This window comes from Homo sapiens, chromosome 5 (assembly GCF_000001405.40).
Source record: "Homo sapiens chromosome 5, GRCh38.p14 Primary Assembly".
Classification (NCBI taxonomy): domain Eukaryota; kingdom Metazoa; phylum Chordata; class Mammalia; order Primates; family Hominidae; genus Homo; species Homo sapiens.
The window spans coordinates 146,730,118-146,751,512 of record NC_000005.10 but is presented as its reverse complement, the minus strand read 5'-3'; the positions used below and the strand labels follow the sequence as shown (position 1 = coordinate 146,751,512).

At 40.3% G+C, this 21,395-nt stretch overlaps 1 protein-coding gene across 10 annotated transcripts in view, besides 1 other annotated feature; it reads left to right on the top strand.

The window, feature by feature from the left end:
• The window catches only part of PPP2R2B (protein phosphatase 2 regulatory subunit Bbeta), a 500,779-nt gene that overhangs the window by 330,008 nt on the left and 149,376 nt on the right, over window positions 1-21,395 (top strand). The window lies entirely within an intron of this gene.
• Window positions 18,851-20,050: an enhancer, noted in NCBI's record as "CDK7 strongly-dependent group 2 enhancer chr5:146111026-146112225 (GRCh37/hg19 assembly coordinates)". NCBI's record gives its function as "activates an origin of replication core promoter dependent on BRD2, BRD4, P300/CBP, MED14 and CDK7 cofactors, with strong dependence on CDK7, by STARR-seq in HCT116 cells {active_cell/tissue: HCT116}" and the evidence as "EXISTENCE:reporter gene assay evidence [ECO:0000049][PMID:35650434]".

The following is a 21,395-nucleotide window of genomic DNA, read 5'->3' as shown; positions in this document are numbered from 1 at the left end:
TGATATGCTGCAAAGACAGAAAGAAGACAGGAATAAGGAGAGAAGAGGAGGCTAAAGAGGCAGGCAGGGGCCAGACCACATAGGTCCTTGTGAGTAATTAGAAGGGGCTCTGATTTTCTTCCAAGAGCATCAGAAAACTGTTCACCTCTGGAAAGCTTTAGCTTTGCAATTCCCAACAGGTGACATAACACTTGGAGAAACACTGAACTCTATGACCTCTTCCCCGCTATGTTCTGTGATGCCCGGAAGTAGAGCTCTGCACTGTTATTTAATCCTATCAATGTTTGCTCTGGAGGCAATGGATTAAATAGCACATGTTGAATCATCAACTGAATTAACCTTCTCAAGAGTACCTCATGCCACGATTTGGATTCTCTGGAAAGTATCCCTTACTCTTTCCTAATGTGCTTACAGCTTGGTTCCAAATGTCTCTCCTTGGAGTTGCTGTGTAAATCCACTTCTTTGGGGAGCCATCCCTGACCTCCCAGGGCAGAGTTCAGGATCCCCCTGCATGCTCTTCAGCTCCTACTGTTGAGAGCAGAACAGTGCTGCTTTGTGGTGTCTCTCTGCTGCTCCAGCTGGAGTGTATGTTCCCTGAGGGTGGGGACCTTCTTTGTTGTCTCTAATTCTGAGACCACAGAGAGGCTGCTGGATCCAGCGTACCAACGTGTGTATTTGAACTGTTTTATTTTATGTTAATTCAAAGTAGGTGCCAACATTTTAGGTTTTTTAAAAAATAGATTTCTGGCTTATGTTGAAAATATATAAGCCATAGCAATGCTGTGCCCATGTTCTTAACCATGAGAAGACTTGGGTAGCAACTGCTCCATTCATAGGGGACATGGCTTTCCTCCAGCAAGCCACAATCCCCACCATTCCTTATTATGTTTCTAATGCTGAGCTCAAGTGTTCCTGGTCATTTAACATCTGATTGAGTTATTGTTTTCTTACAGTACAGAAATATTCTGTATCCAATCTACTATCACAAGAAGCCTGCATGTTCTTAAACCTGATACATGCGGCCTCTTTTGAGCAACTGAATTTGTTACCCTAGTTCGTCCTAAAATAAAAAAGTGTTTATAAAGGCATAGGACTTGTCTACCCAACGAGGCAAAGATGTTAATTCTTCCCAAATTGATATATAGGTTTAATGTGATTGCTATCAAAATCCCACCAAGATTTTTATAAATACAGATCTGATTATTCTAAAATGTATATGGAAAACCAAAGGAACCAAAATAGCTAAAAATCATTTTTAAAAGAATAATAAACTGGGAAGAATCAGTCTCCTTGATTTTAAGATTTATTATATGGCTATAGTATGAAAGACTGTGTAACATTAACAGACAGATAGAGGCATAGATCAATGAACAGAATAAAGAATCCAAAAACAAACCCACACAAATATGTTCAACTCAGTTTGTTTGTTTGTTTTTTACAAAATTGCAAAAGCAATTCAACGGAGGAAAGACAGCCTTTCAATAAATGGCACTGGTGCAATTGAACTCCCATAGGCACAAAATTAATCTCAACCTAATCTTAATGAACTCAAAATGGATCACAGACTTAGATATAAAATGTGAAGCTATAAAATTCTTAGAAAAAAAAGGAAATTGGCCAGGCGCAGTGGCTCACGCCTGTAATCCCAACACTTTGGGAGGCCAAGGCAGGCAGATCACGAGGTCAGGAGATCGAGACCATCCTGGCTAACACGGTGAAACCCCGTCTCTACTAAAAATACAAAAAATTAGCCGGGCATGGTGGCAGGCGCCTGTAGTCCCAGCTACTCGGGAGGCTGAGGCAGGACAATGGCGTGAACCTGGGAGGCGGAGCTTGCAGTAAGCCACTGCACTCCAGCCTGGGCGACAGACTGAGACTCCATCTCGAAAAAAAAAAAAAAAAAAAAGAAAAGAAAAGAAAAAAAGGAAATCTTCAGGATCTAGGCTAAGCAAAGAGTTCTTATGCTATATGCACTGTGATCAAGGCTAAGCAAAGAGTTCTTATGCTACATGCACTGTGATCTAGGCTAAGCAAAGAGTTCTTATGCTACATGCACTGTGATCTAGGCTAGGCAAAGAGTTCTTATGCTAAATGCACTGTCCATAAATTGAACCTCATCACAATTAAAACATTTGCTCAGCCAAAGATTCTGTTTAGAGGATTAAATGACAAACTACAGGCCGGAAGAAAATATTTGAAAACCACATGTCGGACAAAGACTAGTTACCAAAATATATAAAGAACTCTCAAAACAGCATTAAAAAAATGCAATTAGAAAATGGGCAAAAGACCTGAGATATTTCACCAAAGACGATAGACAGATGACCAATAAGCACAGCAAATGATGTTTAACACTATCAGCCATTAAGGAAATGCAAATTAAAGCACAATGAGATACATATCTATCACAGTGGCTAAAATGAAATGGTAGCAATACAAGTGCTGGAATGCAGAGAAAGTCCATCATTCATATATTTTTGATAGGAATGTAAAATGTACCTTCTGAATATTCTAGGGAAAAAATTCTGGAAAACAACTTGGCAATTTCTTAAAAACCTAAACATGAAACTATAATACCATATGACCCAAGAATTGCACCTCTGGGTATTTGTCTTTGAAAAATAAAAAAAATGTATGTGCACACAAAAACCTATATACAAACCTGTACACAATGTTTATAGCAGCATTATTCATAATTACCAAAAAACTGGAAACAACCCAGATGTTCTTAGATGTGTGAACAGCACATCAAACTGTGGTACGTCCATACCATGGAATACTATTCAGCAATTAAAAAGGAATGAGCTATTGATACAATCAACAATCTGAATGCATCTCCAGAAAATATTGAGGGAAAAAAAAGCCAATTCCAAAAGCTTATGTACTACTGGATGTACCTCTTCTTAACCCCAGGTGACCACTAATCTGTTCTCCATTTTTATGATTTCATCATTTCAAGAATGTTGTAGAAATGGAGAACAGATTAATGGTTGCCAGGGGATAAGGAAAGGATGGGGACTGGAGGGAAACTGGTGTGGCTATGAAAGGGCAACAGGAGAGATTTTTATAGTGATGGAAATTGTCTGTATCTCCACTGTATCAATGTCAGATCCTGGCTGTGATATAGTCCTATAGTTTTGCAAAATGTTACCATTGTGATGGGGGGAACTGGGTGAATGTTCCATAGTAACTCTCTATTATTTCTTACAATTGCATGTGAATCTCAAAATTAAAAGCTTAATTTTTCTAAAAAAAAAAGTACAAGCTTTGGAAATCAACCAGCCATGGGTTTAAATTCCTGCTACGCCACTTACTAGCTAAATGACCATGGGCAGCCTCTTGGGGCCTCAGGTTACTCATCGGTTAAATGGGGATCATAAAAGACCCATGCTCACAGTGCTCTGGAGATTAAATGAGGTCATGCAGTTACAATGCTTAAGAGCTTGCCTATGTTTGGCCAAGAGCTCAGTAGATGGGAGCTGCTTTTGTGGCTGTCACTGTACCACATAGAGAATCCAGAGGCAGGTTCAGCCCTGGAACATCTCGGGTTAAACCATGCTTTGTGTAGAACAGAGGTTCCCCAAGTACCTCAGTTCATATCACCCTTCGTATCGTCCTAATTTTTTTCATGCTGTTCTTGGGCCAAAAAAAAATTCACAACTGTTCTGTTTACTAAGTAGTTAGGTTCAAACTACTTAATAAGTGTGTTTGCACTAACAATGTAGTAACTGTTTGAAACATAGTAACATAAATTGAAGAAATAATTTTATTTCATTCTTAACTACAATTGCTTACAATGGAATTATGTGTCCCTAATAGTCTGTACCACTTCCCAAACCTTGGAATCAGATTGAATACTGTCACCTTCATTATCTGCTCCACATTGATTTTGATGCAGTGCTTGTTTTTAATTATATTAACTACCAAAACTCCAGCTTTGCAAAAATACTTTGTAATTAAGGGGAATATACTATGTACTAATGTTGAAGTGGTAAGTTCCCTCATGCTATTCATTCTCACATTATCTGACAGAGGTTTAATATCACTATTGTTCACTCAAAATTTAAAATATCCTGCAGCATCCCTGTGAGTATGCCATGATGCCCTGGAGTGCTTTGGTGCATAAATTGGGAATTATAGGTTGAACAGTTCATTTTGGCCTCTTCCAGAGCAAAGCAAAGTAGACTAAGGCCCAAAGCTGCTCTACTGGGATCTTTCCAGTTGTCATGATCCATCTGCTTCTATCTACACCCATGTCCCCAGGATGGTCTCACAGCTAAACTGCCTACCATTGGGAGACAAGAGCCATTTTTTCTGACTCAGCGATAGCAGAGGATGATTAGGAATGGGGTACTGGACCTTTTTTTTCCTGGTATTCTAAAGATATTAAGCAATTTGGGAAGCTCCTCTTAAAATTTAATTCCACATTAAGCACCTAGAAGGTGACAAGCACTGTTGTAGGTACTGGAGCCACAGAAATAAATTGAGCCTAGTCCTTAGCCCTTGAATAATGCTTCCTCCACAGATGATATGCAGCACGATGTTATAGAAAAGCCTTGGAGCCAAGAGACCCGAATGAAAATTCGGACTCGCCATATGAACTTGTTAGGTTGGCCTTCCTGAGCCTCAGTTTTGGTATCTGCATAATGGGAGTTTAAATATCCCTACAGCACTTTTATCTCACAGCATTTAATAAGATAAATGCATGTAAACTCAGAATGTTATGATTAATGAATAGCCACCATTTAGATGTGCTGCTTTTTAAAATCACTAATTATCAGTTCAAGCAGCTTTGCCCAAGAGTGAAAGAAATCCAAACAACAAAATATACTTCTCATGCTTCTTAGAAGAAATGGGGATAGCAGGGGTAGCGCAAGGAAGAAAATTCCAAAAGATTTTATAATTGTAGTGAGAAATTGAGGAGCAGACAGAGTCGTCCTGGAAGCCCTGTTCTCCTTTTGCAGGCTAGAGAATAAATACTTTGAGAGCTAAATTGATCTGCTCATCCTCCTGTTCCTTTCTCCTCTGGAATATGTCACTTGAAAGAGATCAACTTTCTGGCCTCTGATTCTGGCTGTCACCCAGTGGCTGCTTTGTCTAATGATTGCTACATATGACTTTTTTTTTTTAAACTCCCAGTCCAAAAGCTGTTTCAAAGTCAAAGTTAATACAGATGTTGTGTCATCCCATGCGCCAGTGATAGGTGTTGTTTAGTCAAGGTGGATCTGATTGGGATCTCTCTCCAAGAAAGTGAGATAATATGAGAGACCATAAAGCAGCAGTTAATTTCCCTTTCAAAGTGAGGAGGATTATGCACAGTGGTGGAAAGCCGTTCTCTGGGTCCCCAGCCTAATTGTCTTGATTAACACGCTGCATGGCCATCACAGGTGTAGCACATAATAGCGCTATAAGGTTTTCATAGCCAAGCCAATTAAAGTCTGTCATTGAGCCAAGAACTAACTGTGTGTGCATCATAATGCCAAAAGTCAAAATGAGTTCTCTAGATAACAATTGCTTGCATTTCTAGGACAATTTATCTTTTTTTTTTTTTCTTTGAGACCAAGTCTCTCTCTGTCGCCCAGGCTGGAGTGCAGTGGCACAATCTTGGCTCACTGCAGCCTCCGCCTCCTGGGTTCAAGCAATTCTCCTGCCTCAGCCTCCCAAGTAGCTGGGACTATAGGCATGCACCACCATGCCTGGCTGATTTTTGTATTTTTAGTAGAAATGGGATTTCACCATGTTGTCCAGGCTGCTCTTGATCTCCTGACCTTGTGATCCACCCACCTTGGCCTCCCAAAGTGCTGAGATTACAGGCGTGAGCCACCACCACACCTGGCCGACAATTTATCATTTTAAAGCATACTTTCTTTACCTCATTTTCTCTTCATGCCAGAAGGCAAGCAGTTTATGTGGGGAAACTGAAGTTCAAAGAGATTCAGTGACTTACCAATCTAGAGGACTCTAATAATTGTGCCAGGCTGCTCATAGTAAGTTCTTAAAGATTTTTCTCTTATCCCTATGACAATAACTAACATTCGTCTTTCACTTAACAGCTGACAAAATGCTGATATATTTATTTTCTTTCTAGATCTTCCATAACAACCCTGCAAATCAGATCTTCTTTAGATCCCATTTTTATGGCCAAAAATCTCAAAATCTTGGAATATTGATTGAAATCCTGCCACATTTTAGAGTTGAGAGCTTGTTCAAGGGCACAGGGTTACCAAGTGGTAGAACTAGGGTAAGAACTCAGGCCCACTGGCTGACCCAGTGTTCTTCACATCATTCCATGCTTATAGTCTCTTTCTCTCTCTCTCTCTCTCTCTCTCTCTCTCTCTCTCTCTCTCTCTCTGTCTTTCTCTGCACGTTTTAGAGTTGGGGGAAAATGAGTCAAGACAACTGACACTGAGCTGCAAAGACACAGGTTTCTTCTATTGCCACAGTGCCCAGCTTTGAGCAACTAAAGGGTTTTGGTCAATTATCTATTTTCCCATTGAACTGGGAATGGACAATTTATATTCTAAACTGAATATAAATTTGACTCTTGGTCTCTTAACTGCCTGATCTCTATGGTGTGTTTGATAAAAGTATTTTTGTTGGTTTACAGGCCACCCCCAGAGGCCCTGAGCAATGCATTTGAAAGTTCTGGGTGGCTGTGAATGACCATGAAAGTAGGAGATAAATATCTTAGCTGGCTAGGCAGAATAAGAAGTAGATAGCCTGCTTAAAGGAAAAGCAAGCTCTAAGCTATTCTCAATAAGATCCACAAACAATTTCTTGCAGTAAAATGTGTTGTTCTTTGTTTCTCAGATATGAGGAATGAGGAGGAACCCTTCTTAGGCTCTTCTGATGATTTTTTAGGTTAAGGCTGAGTCCCTGAGTACAAATGATTGCCTGGCTCATATCCCAGTGCTGATGGAGCACACAGGATGGTTCCCTGGTGACACATGTGAGGGTAGGAGTGGAATTTCACATTTCTCACTGCTGGAAGGGCAGTGTTTTCCACCCATTGTTCATTCTGAAAGCTCTCTTCAGTCCCAGCCTGTGTGTTGTCACTGGAGGAGGAAAGAGAATGAATTCTGTGTTCCCCATGGTGCACTGAAGCCTAAGGGCCAAGTTCCTTTCATCTAAAAAGCCAAAAATGATGATTTCCTCAAGAGCAAATAGCTTTCATTGCTTCTTTGGCTGCGGAGACATATCTGTATCTGCTCTGCCACTCCATCCTGAAATCTGGGGTGTGGCTGAAGTAGCCATGTTAAGAGCATTCACAAATAACCTCTTTTATTTAAAAGGGTGGGGGCAGGGGATGGTGTGGGAGGAAATGCAGGAACAGCCTTATGTTCTATATTTTATTTCAGATTTTTAAATATTATGAAAAGGAGGAAGGAGCAAGCATCTATGTACTTTAAAGATATATTTGTAAGTTAGTATGTATACTACGTATAGTTAAATATTTTTTGCCACTTTATAATTTCCAGGCATGGTATGAATAAATCTACACTTGGCTTAACTTAATGCAGTTGAATTGATTTCTGCCTGCTAACCTGTGATTCTCTCTCAGTGGGAAATAATCAATAAGGTCAGTTGGGCCCACTTTTGCACATCATTGGTCCTAGTTTTAATCTTGGTAACCCTGGCTGTAAACCACCCACTATGGAGGCAGATTGATTGGCAGCAATATTTGCTCAATAATTTTGTGGCCATATTTGAGGCACATTTTAGCTTACGACTTGGTGTAACAGTTTCTCCTTTAGAGTTTAGTGCCTGTTTTCTTTCTTATACTGCAAAGGGCCTATTCCAAAGGAAGCTTGGGGAAAATAAACTTGACAGGAAGGGAAATGAAATAAGTTTTAAACTGAATCTGAAAGGGAAATAATAATAATAAAATTAAAGCATATAGAGCCTTAGTGCTCAAGGAATTTGAACTGGATTAGACGTGGGGATGGAGAAGGTCATAACATTTAGTCCAGAAGTAAAAATTGCCATCAGAGTCACTAAGCTAAATTTAATCCCAATTCCTTCTCATTAGGTGAGTAGCAGCCACCTCACCTTTTCCTTCTTTTGTAAAGAATATCTTTTATGTACCACAAGTGAAGGGAGTGCTGAATATGATGCCTTCCTTTAGCCTCGCATGATAGTTTTATAAATTTCTGGTGAAGTCACACATGAAGGGAATATATAAATCCAGCATCACTGCCCAAGTCCTTTCAGTCCAGCATATGTTGAAAAATCCTATTTGAATGGTGAAAAGGGAAGAAAAAGAATTCTTCCTCCACCCACCCAGCCATTCCACCCATCAATCGTTTATGACAATCTTCAGACCAAAAGGCTGTTGTTAAGAGAGTAAAATGATATAAGCAAAGTGCTTACCATAGGACCTGGTTTGTGTATTACTATATTAGTTTGCTAGGGCTGCCATAGCAAAGTACCACAAAGTGGGTGGTGTAAATAACAGAACTGTACTGTCTCACAGTTCTGGAGGCTAAAAGTCCAAGATCAAGGTGTTGGCAAAGTTACTTCCTTCTAAGGCTATGACAGAGAAACAGTTCCAGGCCCCTCTCCTAGCCTCCTGTGGTCTTTAGGCAATTTTTGGCAGTCCTTGGCTTGCAGATGCATCACCCCATCTCTGCCTTCGCCTTCATCGCCTTCATGTGCTATTCTCCCTGTGTGCATACCCATCTCTGTGTTTCAGTTTCCCCTTTTTATAAGGACACTAGTCATATTGAATTAGGACCCACCCTAATGACCTCATCGCAACTACTTCTGCAATGACTCTTATTTCCAAATAAAGTCACATTCCGAGATATTGGGGGTTAAAACTTCATATAAATTTTGGGAGGGCACAATTCAACCCATAATAATTATTATCATTTATTATTATATCTTCATTATTTCTTAGCTTTTCATAGTTTCCTTTATACTATAAATCTATTCTCTACCCTGCAGAGAATTAAAAATTCGCAAAAACAGAAAAAAGTAGGGAGGTGAAGAAATCAGAATATCAATGCATAGTGTGAATATCTTCAAGTAATAATGAACTGTTGGACATAGCCACCATATTCAGACATTAATGTTTCAGGTAAAAGGATCCAGAACAACTGGCCAGCCCAATTCAGTGAAGCAGCATAGCTAGTCATTAGTTAAACCCTAGCCATCCAGAGTGTTGGCAGTCTCTCCAACGGTAAGATTTTGGTATCCTTTCATACAGTAAGGAGGCAGTTGGTGTGGAGTCCCCTGCATCAGAGGCTTCATGCGCATTTTAGATTTATTAAAAAGCCCACAAAAAAAGAAATACCCTTTGGAGCAATATAGTCTCAAATCCAACAATTTCCTGCAGTATCACAGCAAAGTTCCCCCCGGCGGCTGTTGAGATGGTTAGCCAGTAATTCTTCAAAACATTTTTTTCTGACACATACATAACATTTTCCTTTGTAAGAACGTGAAGGTTTGATTCCTCCAGAGCCCATTACACAGACAGATTGGCCCCTGAGATAATTACAAGAAGATAGTCTAATGGGCTCGATTAAGAAAATCCCAAGACCCAGACGAGTCTTCCTACACAAACACAAATATAATTTCTTACCTAAAGGCATAGAAACAGCATTCAGTTCACCTGTTTATATTTGGATACTAGGCTAATATCGATCTGTCAAAACAGACTTGTTGAACCAGAATATTTTTACTGTACTCTGCTTCAAAAATAATTTAGGATGACATTCAAGGATGTATCAAATATGACATGATAGACTACATTAAAAGTTATGTGGCCTAAAATTGTGTACTGTCAGTATCAGAATCTGGCCTCCCAGCACAGGCAGGAGTGGCAGCTCTCACAAACCTGACAGGTGGTGACGCAGTCCTTCTTGAGATGGCATGATTCTCGGAGCTCTGAGTTCTGTCCCCACGTCCCGAGAGGCGGTCGCCCTTCGTATTATACCCCTAGCTATGGATTCCCATTTGCCCTGTAGAGGGGTGAGAGAGTAGAAAAATCCTTAGGTGTCCAAGAAGCATGCCATCTACAAGGACACCGGGAGTGTTTCACCCTCCACTCCTAGAAAGGCGGGATTTTTATGAATATGCAGCACTGTCAGTTCATAATTTATACCTTCCCCTGACACCAACATGTCCAACTTCAGATTATAAGTACATTTTTAATGTATAAGAAAATGTTTTAGAAGGTGAAAAAAATCAGTTTCATTAGGTTAAGACACTGTATTAAGCTCATCTCTGTCCTGTACTCTCTTAGTGTCCAAGGCACATATGTACATGGAGAAAGGGGGGTTGCCTGCTAGACAAGAACCTTCCTTACTGCATGTGCTCCATCCTTATCAACTAGGTTTTTTCAAAATCTCTGTGATAAGCATAGGAATTACCTGGGGAATTTTTCAAATTGCGGATGCCTAGATCCCCATTCCTAAAGAATCTGATTCAGTAGAACTGGGGTGGGACCCAAAAATCTGCATTTTTTTTTTTTTTTGAGACGGAGTCTTGCTCTGTCGCTTGGCTAGAGTGCGGTGGCACGATCTCAGCTCACTGCCACCTCCGCCTCCCGGGTTCAAGTGATTCTCCTGCCTCAGTCTCCTGAGTAGCTGGGATGGAATCTGCATTTTTAATGTGTTCCTTTGGTGATTGTGAGCTTCATGGCCTATGAGACACACTTTGAGCAGCACTCTGCCCTCCTATGATCTTCTTTCTTTTAGAACACTAATTTTTGCATTATTATCCTACCATCATTTTTTCAAAATGGAATTTTTTTTCATGTTCATCTGTGAAAAAATATGCTCATTGTGAAAAAATAATCAGACAGTGTGAGTAAAAATCATCAGGTTTTCAGCACTGAGATGGAATTACCCTATATATTTTAATGGCATCCATCAAGAACTTTTATCTGTGTGTGTGTGTGTGTGTGTGTGTGTGTGTGTGTGTGTGTGTGTGTGTGATCTCATTTTAAAATATTAATTTGGCAGATCCAAATTTGTGGAAAAGAAAGAGGGAGGTAGCTTCCATAAGACCTTTTTCTTCCAGAGGTAACAACTTTTTCTTTGAGTTCTCTGACTCCAAGAGCCCTTCATTTACAACAGCCTCTTCCCATGGTGGTTTCAAAGCTCCTTATTTACACCTCTACCTGGAGCACTCTTCTTTAAAGACTGGGTTAACTATCAGGTGCTCTTAGTAACTTAGGAGACATAAGGGAAATTGCCCATCATCTCCAAGATTCTTTTCTCTTTTCTTGCAAACATTATCTTGTCACCACAGAGCTGTTCTCTTTTATCACTTGTACACCTCTTTCACTTGGAAAAAGTTAGGTCACATCAACATTTCACCTATTCATTTTTCTACCTTTGGTGAGAACCACCATTTAGCATTTCACCTCTGAGAAGTCTTTTCTAGCTAGAGAGGGCTCCCAAACTACATTTCCCAAGGATCCCCATTTATTGTGCTTTGCAATCATTGTGAGGTCTTAGGTTCCTTTGAGAATCTGATGAAAATGATAATATCTCACTCCTAAAACCAATGCACATATTCGCACCCACATTTTTCCAAGTATTTTCAAGAGGTCCAAGGAATCTAGGTTAAGGATACTCCCTGGTAGTATGTCCTCAGCAGACTGAGTTCCCTCAAATCTACAAAGGATTCCCACAGACATTATTCATTAAAATAAGTATTAAGCATCAAGTATGTAGCAGACACTGCATTGGGGTACTGGTGATACAAAGAGAAACATAGGAGCCCTTGTTTTAAGGATCTCAGGATAGAAATGGAAGCAGATGGATAAATAGTGATCATGGAATGTGAGAAGTACATGAAACACAGCAGGGCTAGAGTAAAATGTGCTTAAATTATAATCGTAGCTTCTTTCCTTAAAATCTTTGATGCATCCTCTTCCTATCATGCACAAAGACCTTCCTCATGAACCTCAAGTTTACTTCTCTAATATATTCTGAACATGTGTCCTTCCTTTGCCCAGCCCTGGCACTCCATGCTTCCGTCTCATTGAAATCTCTGTTGGTCCCCAAATGTACCATGTTCTATGAGTCTTCATATGAGTTGTCCCCCACCCCTGGCATTCTTTCCTCCCCATCCTTTGCCCTTTGGCCAGGCTGACTCTCATTTGTCTTTTAACACTGGGTTTGGAATGCTTTCTCCACGATGCTTCCCCTAATTTCTCTAAATTCCATTTAGATGCACTTCTTCCCAAGTACAGTGGCTCACACTTGTAATCCCAGCACTTTGGGAGGCCAAGGCAAGAGGATTGTTTGAACCCCAGTGTTCCAGACCAGCTTGGGCAACATAGTTGAGACCCTGTCTTTACATAAATAAAAACTATTTGGGTGCAGTGGTGTATACCTGTAGTCCTAGCTACTCAAGAGGTTCGGGGGATGGGGGATCACTTGAGCTCAGGAGGTCAAGGCTGCTGTGAGCCGTGATCACACCACTACACTCCAGCCTGGGCAACACAGTGAGATCCTGTCTCTTAAAAAAAAAATAGGTGCACTTCTTAGATGTTATCCTTATCTTAATTCCTATTGCATTATATTACAATGTATGTGTCTTCATTAGTCTGTGTCCCTCACCAGACAGTAATATCCTCAATGGCAGGGACTATCATATTCACAGTTCTAGTCACACCAACTAATGACTAATAGTTAATAAATATTTGAATTAATTTATGAATTAATCTGATTAAAAAACCCTCAGTATAATTAGTTTTATTGTTCTCTAGTATAAGCTAGAATAAAGAACTCTACCTATATCCTCCCTGAGAAGTATGGTCTATAATTAGAACTTTAACGACATCTGACCAAGGTGCTCTCTGCCCATGAGGAATCTGACTCTTGGTTCCTTGGTACACACAGAAGGAGACAGAGAGCTGAGGGCAGTTAACTAGGAGTTGTTCAACCGTCATTTGCTTAACACTGTGCAAAATACTTTGGGGAGTAAAGATGTATTTCTCCCTCCTTTCAAGAACCTACTGTTGGGAATACAAGAGTTCCCCAGGTGAAATCTTGCTAGTATGTAATTTAGTACCAAATTATGAATAAAATAAGATGACGTTTAAAGTCACTTCCAACTAGTTTTTCTGTGAAGCTAAGATTTTTTTTTTTTTTTTTTTTTTGAGACTGAGTCTCACTTTGTCGCCCAGGCTGGAGTGCAGTGGCATGATCTCGGCTCACTGCAAGCTCCGCCTCCCAAGTTCATGCCGTTCTCCTGCCTCAGCCTCCCGAGTAGCTGGGACTACAGGCACCCGCCATCACGCCCGGCTAATTTTTTGTATATTTAGTAGAGACGGGGTTTCACTGTGTTAGCCACGATGGTCTCGATCTCCTGACCTCGTGATCCGCCCGCCTCAGCCTCCCAAAGTGCTGGGATTACAGTTGTGAGCCACCGCGCCCAGCCCGAAGCTAAGATTTTTTATATCACCTAACTGTACTAAACACTCTATGGCATATCTTCCAAACCACACTGAGAGTGACAATCATGTGTTGATGGTCTTTGTACCTTCAAGGTCGAACATAGTCCCCAGGTCTGAGTAGGTTTCTAACAACGTTTTTTTTGTTTTGTTTTGTTTTTTGAGACAGGGTCTCACTCTGTCACCCAGGCTGGAGTGCAGTGGCGTGATCTCAGCTCACTGCAATGTCCACCTCCTGGGCTCAAGTGATCCTCCCACCTCAGCATCCCAAGTAGCTGGGACTACAGGTGTGAGCCACCACACCTGGCCTCCAACAACATTTGTTAAACCAAATACACTCAAAGAAGACCGTGACACCCACCATAAATATAACACCTGACTGGAGTTTCCCATTTATAAATTTTTTCACTGGGATGAAAGGCTTATATACTAAATAAGCATTGTTTATTCTTCACTGTATATTACTTAGGGGCAAATTAGTATATTACTAATGTGGCAAAAAAAAGCGGAATGGATCAAAAAGTACAAGCTTTAAAATCAGGCATACCTGATTCAAATCCCAGCTCTTCTGCAGGTTTGACAAGTAACCTTCCATTGATTCCATAGATATTTGTTGAATCATGCTCTGTGCAAGGCAATGTGCTAAGTGTTAAAGAGGTAAAAGTAAATACTCTCTACAGTCTTGGAGCTTCCAGTAACTTTCTTCAGGCTCTTTATCTGTAATGTGGAGCCAACGATGTTTTCTTGGAAAGCTACTGGCAAGATGAAGCATAATATGTATCAAAATGCCCACTCTAGGTCTTTGCATGAAGTAGACACCCAAAAAATACTACTAGAAGGCACAGCTCCTATATGCCTAGAAGGCACTTGTCCTAATCAGGACAAGTCAATGAACATTCACAGTGCAGCTAAAGCTCTCTGCCAGTATGAAGTCCCCAGTAGCTACTGAACCCTTGAAATGTGGCTAGTCAAAATTGAGATGTGCTGTAAGTATGAAATACACACCAGGATTTGAAGACTTAGCATGAAAATAAGACAGTAAAATAACTTAGTAATATTTTGTATTCATTACATGTTAAAAGGATATTTCAATAAATTGAGTTAAATAAAATGCTATATATGATTAATTTTACCTGTTTTTATTTTTTAAATGTTACCATTAGAAAATTAAAAATTATATATGGCTCACATTATTTCTATTGAACAGTCCTGGGTTAGAGAGTAAATGTATGTTATAGGTTCTAAAAAGAACCAACTAGAGATGCCAAAGGTGATCCAGAAATGTATACCACTAGGTAATGACTGAGCAGGGATGAAAACACAAAGCTGCAATCCTGCTTTTGTGCCCTCATGGTGGTATTAATAGTAATTAACAGATTACACCGGAGTCAGAACATTCTCATTCACTTTAGTTCAAATACCAATTGTGGGATGTACCCATGTACACACCTAGGAAAGGGGGTGGTGCTGGGGGCTGGGAAGAAGATGGCAGAGATGTCCTCAAGACTTACGATGGCTGCTATGATTCACTTCTTCATTTGGAGGCATGTTAAAGCAGATGGGCTTTAGACATATGAGGTTTGGATGTCAGCATCATTTCTTCCTGCACGATCTGGAGCAAGTTAGTTATCTCTCCGGGCCTCAGTTTACTCATTTTTAAAATGATGGTAATAATAACAACTAGATCATAAGATTTCTGTGATGACTGAAGGAGCAAATGCATGTAAAATATGTGGCAGGGCATAACGCTCAGTTGTTAGTTATTGTCACTGTATTAGTCTGTTCTCACGCTGCTAATAAAGACATACCCAAGAATGGGTAACTTATAAAGGAAAGAGGTTTAATTGACTCACAGTTCAGTATGGCTGGGGAGGCCTCAGGAAACTTAAAATCGTGTCAAAAGGGGAAGCAAACACATCCTTCTTCACATGGAGGCAGGAAGGAGAATAATGTGTGCCCAGTGAAGGGAAAAGCTGCTTATGAAACCATCAGATCTCATGAGAACTAACTCACTCTCATAAGAACAGGATGGGGGAAACTGCTCCCATGATTCAATTATCTCCACCTGGTCCCTCCCATAACACGTGGGGATTATGGGAACTACAATTCAAGATGAGATTTGGGTGGGGACACAGCCAAACTAAATCAGTCACCATCACAGTCTATTTTATGCAATCATAAATAATAATGCCCACCACATATTTGGTATTCAATAAATACTTGTTGAATGAATGAAATAGGTTATCATCATCAAATCAAGCAATAGATGACTCTTTATTCCTGAAATTCCAGTGTCATCAGGTAGGATCCTGCTGCTATATCTCTGAATGTGGGTGTGAGTCTTGTAAGAACAGTCACAGCTACTGAGAACTGCTGGCTAAGTTGTCTCTTGTTTTGACAAGTGTCCCTCAGCGTTGACTCTACCCTCAGGCCACTCCATAGCCATTCCAGCAACGTCCATGGTTTTATATTTCCCTTATCCTTTCCACTTTTCCATTATACCTGAGTGTGAGACTCTTTTTTTCCCCCATCCAATTTAATCATATAAAACCTGCTCTGATTTAGAATCTCCTTTGCAGCTAATCGAACCTTGCAGCATTCTATTAGCTCTTCCTATTTGCTCTCAGCCCAAGCTGAGGCTCTGGGATTATTATGTAATAACTTGGACTCATATCTGGTCAGTATATACCATGCCTTTTCATTCTGCAAATCCCCTCAGGGTTCTCTGTCTGTTTGCAAGGGGTGGGAGAAGAGAGTAGAAGGATTGTGGGGGGGGTTTTGGTGGGAGGGGACTGTTTGCTAAAAGTTATTATCCCACACTTATCAGTATTAAACTGGATTTGACAACTCATAGCCTGGGATTTAAATGATCTAAATCCTGCTTCATTTGGCAGCCTGATTTTACCTGTTATTTATTGTGCTACCCAATTTATTATCATCGGCACACTCGGAGGCTTGGCCTGTGGTGTCTTCACAGCCAAGTGATTTATACAAATAATAAAAAAGATCGCGGTTCCTAGCAATGAAATTCAAAGCAATTCCACCTCTCCTTTCCCTCTCATCTAGCTCAGTTCATCTCTTACACATTAACCCTTGGCCTTCTTACTTCTTCTAGAGAAATTCATCCTCAGCTTCCTTCTGATCCCTGGAAGGAAATGCTATTGGCAGAGAAAGGGGCGGGTAATAAAAGTGATGATTTAGGTTGGTGCAACAGTAATTGTAGCTTTTGCCATCAAAATCTGCAATTACTTTTGCACCAGTCTAATAGAATTCCAAAACATAAGTATCATCAGGTCTTTATATGGAAGGTACCAGGCAAATCCTCTCTATACGTTATAGGATTTGGTTGTCACACCAGCACTTTGAGGTAGACATTGATTTTATCCAATTTGACAGCAGAGGGTCTCAGTTTGAAAGATGCTGCATCTCAGTCTCACGAGGACAGACAGAGTGGGAGAGAGAAGCATGGCCAGGGGGTGGGGTGTCTGGAATATGGCCAGGATGAGGGGTAATACTGGTACCAAAACTGTAATGTAGCAGTTCAGAACATGAGCTTTGAAATCAAACAATCCTGGAAGTGAATTCTAGTTCTTGAACCTATTGAGTTGTAGGACCATAAGTAACCAGTCTGTGCCTCAGTTTCCTCACCTGCAAAGTGGGAATAATAAAGTAGATAGGTAGTTATGAGAACTGAATGAGATATTGTATACAGGGCATTTAACACAGTTTCTCCATCTGTTAAAAATGGCTAATGGCCAGGCTCATACCTGTAATCCCAGCAGATTGGGAGGCCAAGGCAGGAGGAATTCTTGAGCCCGGGAGTTCAAGACCAGCCTGGGCAATGTAGGGAGGCCCCATCTCTACAAAAAAATAAAAACATTAGCCAGGTATGGTGGTGTGCATCTGTAGTCCCAGCTACTTGGGAGGCGAAGGTGGGAGGATCTGCTTGAGCCAGGGAAGTTAAGGCTGCAGTGAGCTGTGATCATGCCACTGCCCTCCAGCCTCAGCAACAGAGTAAAACCCTGTCTCAAAAAAAAAAAAAAAACCTAACTCATTTTATCTTCACAACAACCCTATGAGGTAATATATGTAAAGCACTTAAAACAATTCCTGGAAATGCTCAATAAATGTTAGCTGTTATTACTACCACTACTATTACTACCACCACCACTGCTACTACTGCCGTTATTATTGTCTACTATTACTACCACCACCACTACTACTGCTGCTGCTGCTATTGTCATGACTCAAATTCAATACAAAATCAGTACTTTCCAGCACATATATTGCAAAGACCTTGAGTAGGGTCCTGGTAAGCTGAATTCACCCATGATAGTAATTATAGCCTATGCTACCATATAAATGACGTGTGTGTGTTTGTGTGTGTGTGTGTCTGTGTGTGGTTTTGTTTTCCTTGCCCCAGATCTACTTATGACCTTCTCAAACTGGTTGCCAATTCTAGACTTGGAGGGAGGTTAGTCTAAAGCTCTAGCCCAAGCTTAGAACAACTTTAATATGGGAATTCAGTATCCTGTCATCTTCTCTCTCTAGTCTCAAGCTTTAGCAAGTCTACTTGTATTAGTTCACATACTTCTTACTGAAAGCCAAATGTTAATGGGTAGTCTTCTATTTACTCATTTAGAATATTTATAATTAGAGAGCTTATTCATTTATTTAAAATATGGGCCAAGGGTAGTTCTGTTGGGGTATCTGCTGTGTTGAAACTGGAAGAAGCCCCTCACCCCCAATTAATTTTATATCTTGCAAAACTATTTATGTTGGCATTGCACCAAATAACATTTAGCAGTCCCATACTGCCACTGTTTTTTGACCACCCAGCCCTGTACTTTGGAAATACTGGAAGTTTTATCCCATGTTCCCACATAACTTGCACTGAGTGGGTTACTTGCATATTTAGGGAAGAATATGAGTAACCAGATTGCGGGAACAGCACCTCCCACTGATTTACATTTGTAAAGGAAGTGATGCTGAGAGTTCATGGTGACCTAGAAGTCCAAATTCGGCCCATATTCTCCCCTATATCCTGTATCTAGAGCCAAGAATAATGTTAAATATGTAAAAATAATTTTTGCCGTGAGTGTGTATCAGTAATTTATGGCCAATAGATAGCATTGTTTTCAACACAACTTTGCTGAAGCAGCAATAGCAGAAGATGGGCTTTAGAATCAGCCTCCTTCATTAACTGTGTGGTCTTGAACAAGTTGTATAACATCTATAAGCCTGGAGTGCCCCAGCTACAGTCTATATGGAGGTGGAGTCAATCTCATAGTGCTATTTGAGGAGTAAATGAAAAAATCATTTAGAGTTTGTAGCTGAGCACTTGACACAAAGTACTCAAATACTTGTTACTTAGTAGTATTCCTCTTCTATTGATTTGCATATTCCTAAGCTTTTTACATACAATAAATTTTATTGATGTTGTATTTGTTGCCTATTATAGTCTGATGGTGACAGTGCTATTAATGCTGTTATTGTTTGTGGTAAAAATATGTTTTACCATGAGCATGGTTTCAACTGGAATTCACTTCCAGGTTTGTTCTACAAAACCTTTTATATTTCCTCTTATACCTCTGCAAGATTGCCCTTTGTTCCTGATTTCAAGGCCATAGTCACTGTGGAAATTCCAAATCATGCCTCCTTTCTATTTTTGTCCATCCTCCCATTGGTTTTCACTTGCTCTGTGGAAAAACCGTAGTTTCTGTGTATTGGTAGCTGGAAGCCTGAGGCTTCAGACTAAATATTATCATTTATCAGTGCTATAGCACTTGTATTAAAGAGGTCCTTGCAAAAATTTTTATCAATGTATGTGCATTAGAAATGCTGTTTTCTCTTGTGGTCAAAAGAAGTTATTGAAATTCTTATTCTCATACTCAGCCCTATGTGGAGTGACTTACCTTTGACCTTTCACCGTAAGTTAGAAGCAGAATAAATGAGTGGTGATTTCAGCTGCCTCCTCCTTTCTTGTGATAATGAATGAGTCAGCATCAAGGACTTTTCCAGGAGGCCTGAGTCATAAATATCCCTACATTCCATCAAAAATCTCCACAGAAGGTTGTTTTTAAACCGTAAACGGGAAAAAGTTCCTGGACCTTATCTTAATCATCAAGTTAGTGGGAGATATTTACGCTCTAACTTTGGGGTCAAAAAGAAAGGCTATAGCTAACAATATAGTTAGAGAAATTAATATGACCCCATGATGAGATGGCAAACTTCTCATAGAGGAAAGACAAAAAAAAAGTTCAATGGACATACCCACTCTGTCCAAATTCTTGTCAGTTGTGTTACATTGTTGTTTTCCTAAAACTTATTGAGGATTTATCAGATGTCAGGCAGTGTGCTAGCTCCTTTATTTGCATTATGTCATTTCATCTGCACACCTCCTTCATGAAAAGTGGAAAGATTTTCTTCACTGTTTTACAGAGAAGGAAATTGAGAATGAGGGTGACTGACTCTCCCAAGGTTTTGCAGCTAATAGATGGCAGAAATGTGCTTTGACCCTCAGATCCATCTGACTTCAAAGCCCAAGCTCTTAATTAGTCAGTTAAACTCTACGGGAAGCCACGGAAAATGAAGAGGGAAAGGAGAAGAATATACAGAAATGCAAGTTGGCCTTCTCTCTGCCACATAAAGTACTCATAGTACAGTATAGTTAAGGTCTCTTGCAAAATAATTTTAATTTTCCATTAGCACTATAAACAGAAAGCCAATGGATACTATAAGACCCTGAAAAAGTCCAGGCATCAGAGTCCTGAGGCTGCAGCAAACATCAGGTACCCAGCAGTACCACAGATTTTGCAGCCATTTTAAGTGCCAGTAACTGGCAATTATTCTGTATACCTGAAAACATCCCATTTTTGTCACCATTCATTCTAACTTACTTGGAGTGCAGTCTCCTGTCAGGGATGTCTTTGTCACACATACAACATTTTATTTATGAGAAGAATAACAAAATATGATTGTTGGATTAGCTGATAGAGCATGGATTGGAAAAGGAGCCAGCTGGTGTGTTGTGTATGGCTTCAGCAGGAAGATACATCTAATCTGTGTTTTTCTCTCCAAACTCACACCTCGTACATGGCTGAATCTTCCTCTCTAACCCTTTCCACTGTGAGCCTCGAAGGCCTCATCGGTTTCTTCTTGGAATGCAGAGAATATCTTTTGGCTACATTTCCTGGTCAGACTCCTCATGCCAATTCAGGCTTCCCTGATCACCTCTCTTTTTAATGATATAAGTTTAATTTCCCTGTATTAGTCCATTTTTATGCTGATGATGAAGACATACCCAAGACTAGGAATAAAAAGAGGTTTAATTGGACTTACAGTTCCACATGTCTGGGGAGGCCTCAGAAGCATGTCAGGAGGTGAAAGGCACTTCTTACATGGTGGCGGCAAGAGAAAATGAGGAAGAAGCAAAAGTGAAAACCCCTGATAAACCCATTAGCTCTCATGAGACTTATTCACTATTATGAGACTAGCACGGGAAAGACTGGCCCTCATGATGCAATTACCTCTGCCTGGGTCCCTCCCACAACATGTGGGAATTCTGGGAGATACAATTCAGGTTGAGATTTGGTGGGGACACAGCCAAACCATATCATTCTGCCCTTGGCCCCTCCAAATTTCACGTCTCCACATTTCAAAACTAATCATGCCTCCCCAGTAGTCCCCCAAAGTCTTAACTCATTTCAGCATTAACCCAAAAGTCCACAGTCCAAAGTCTCATCTGAGACAAGGTAAGTCCCTTCTACCTATGAGCCTTTAAAATCAAAAGCAAGCTAGTTACTTCCTAGATACAATGGGGGTACAGGTATTGGATAAATCCAGCTATTCAAAATGTGAGATACTGGCCAAAACAAAGGGGTTACTGAGCCTATGCAAGTGTCTGAAATCCAGAGAGGCAGTCAAATTTTAAAGCTCCAAAATGATCTCCTTTGACTCCAGGTCTCATATCCAGGTCACACTG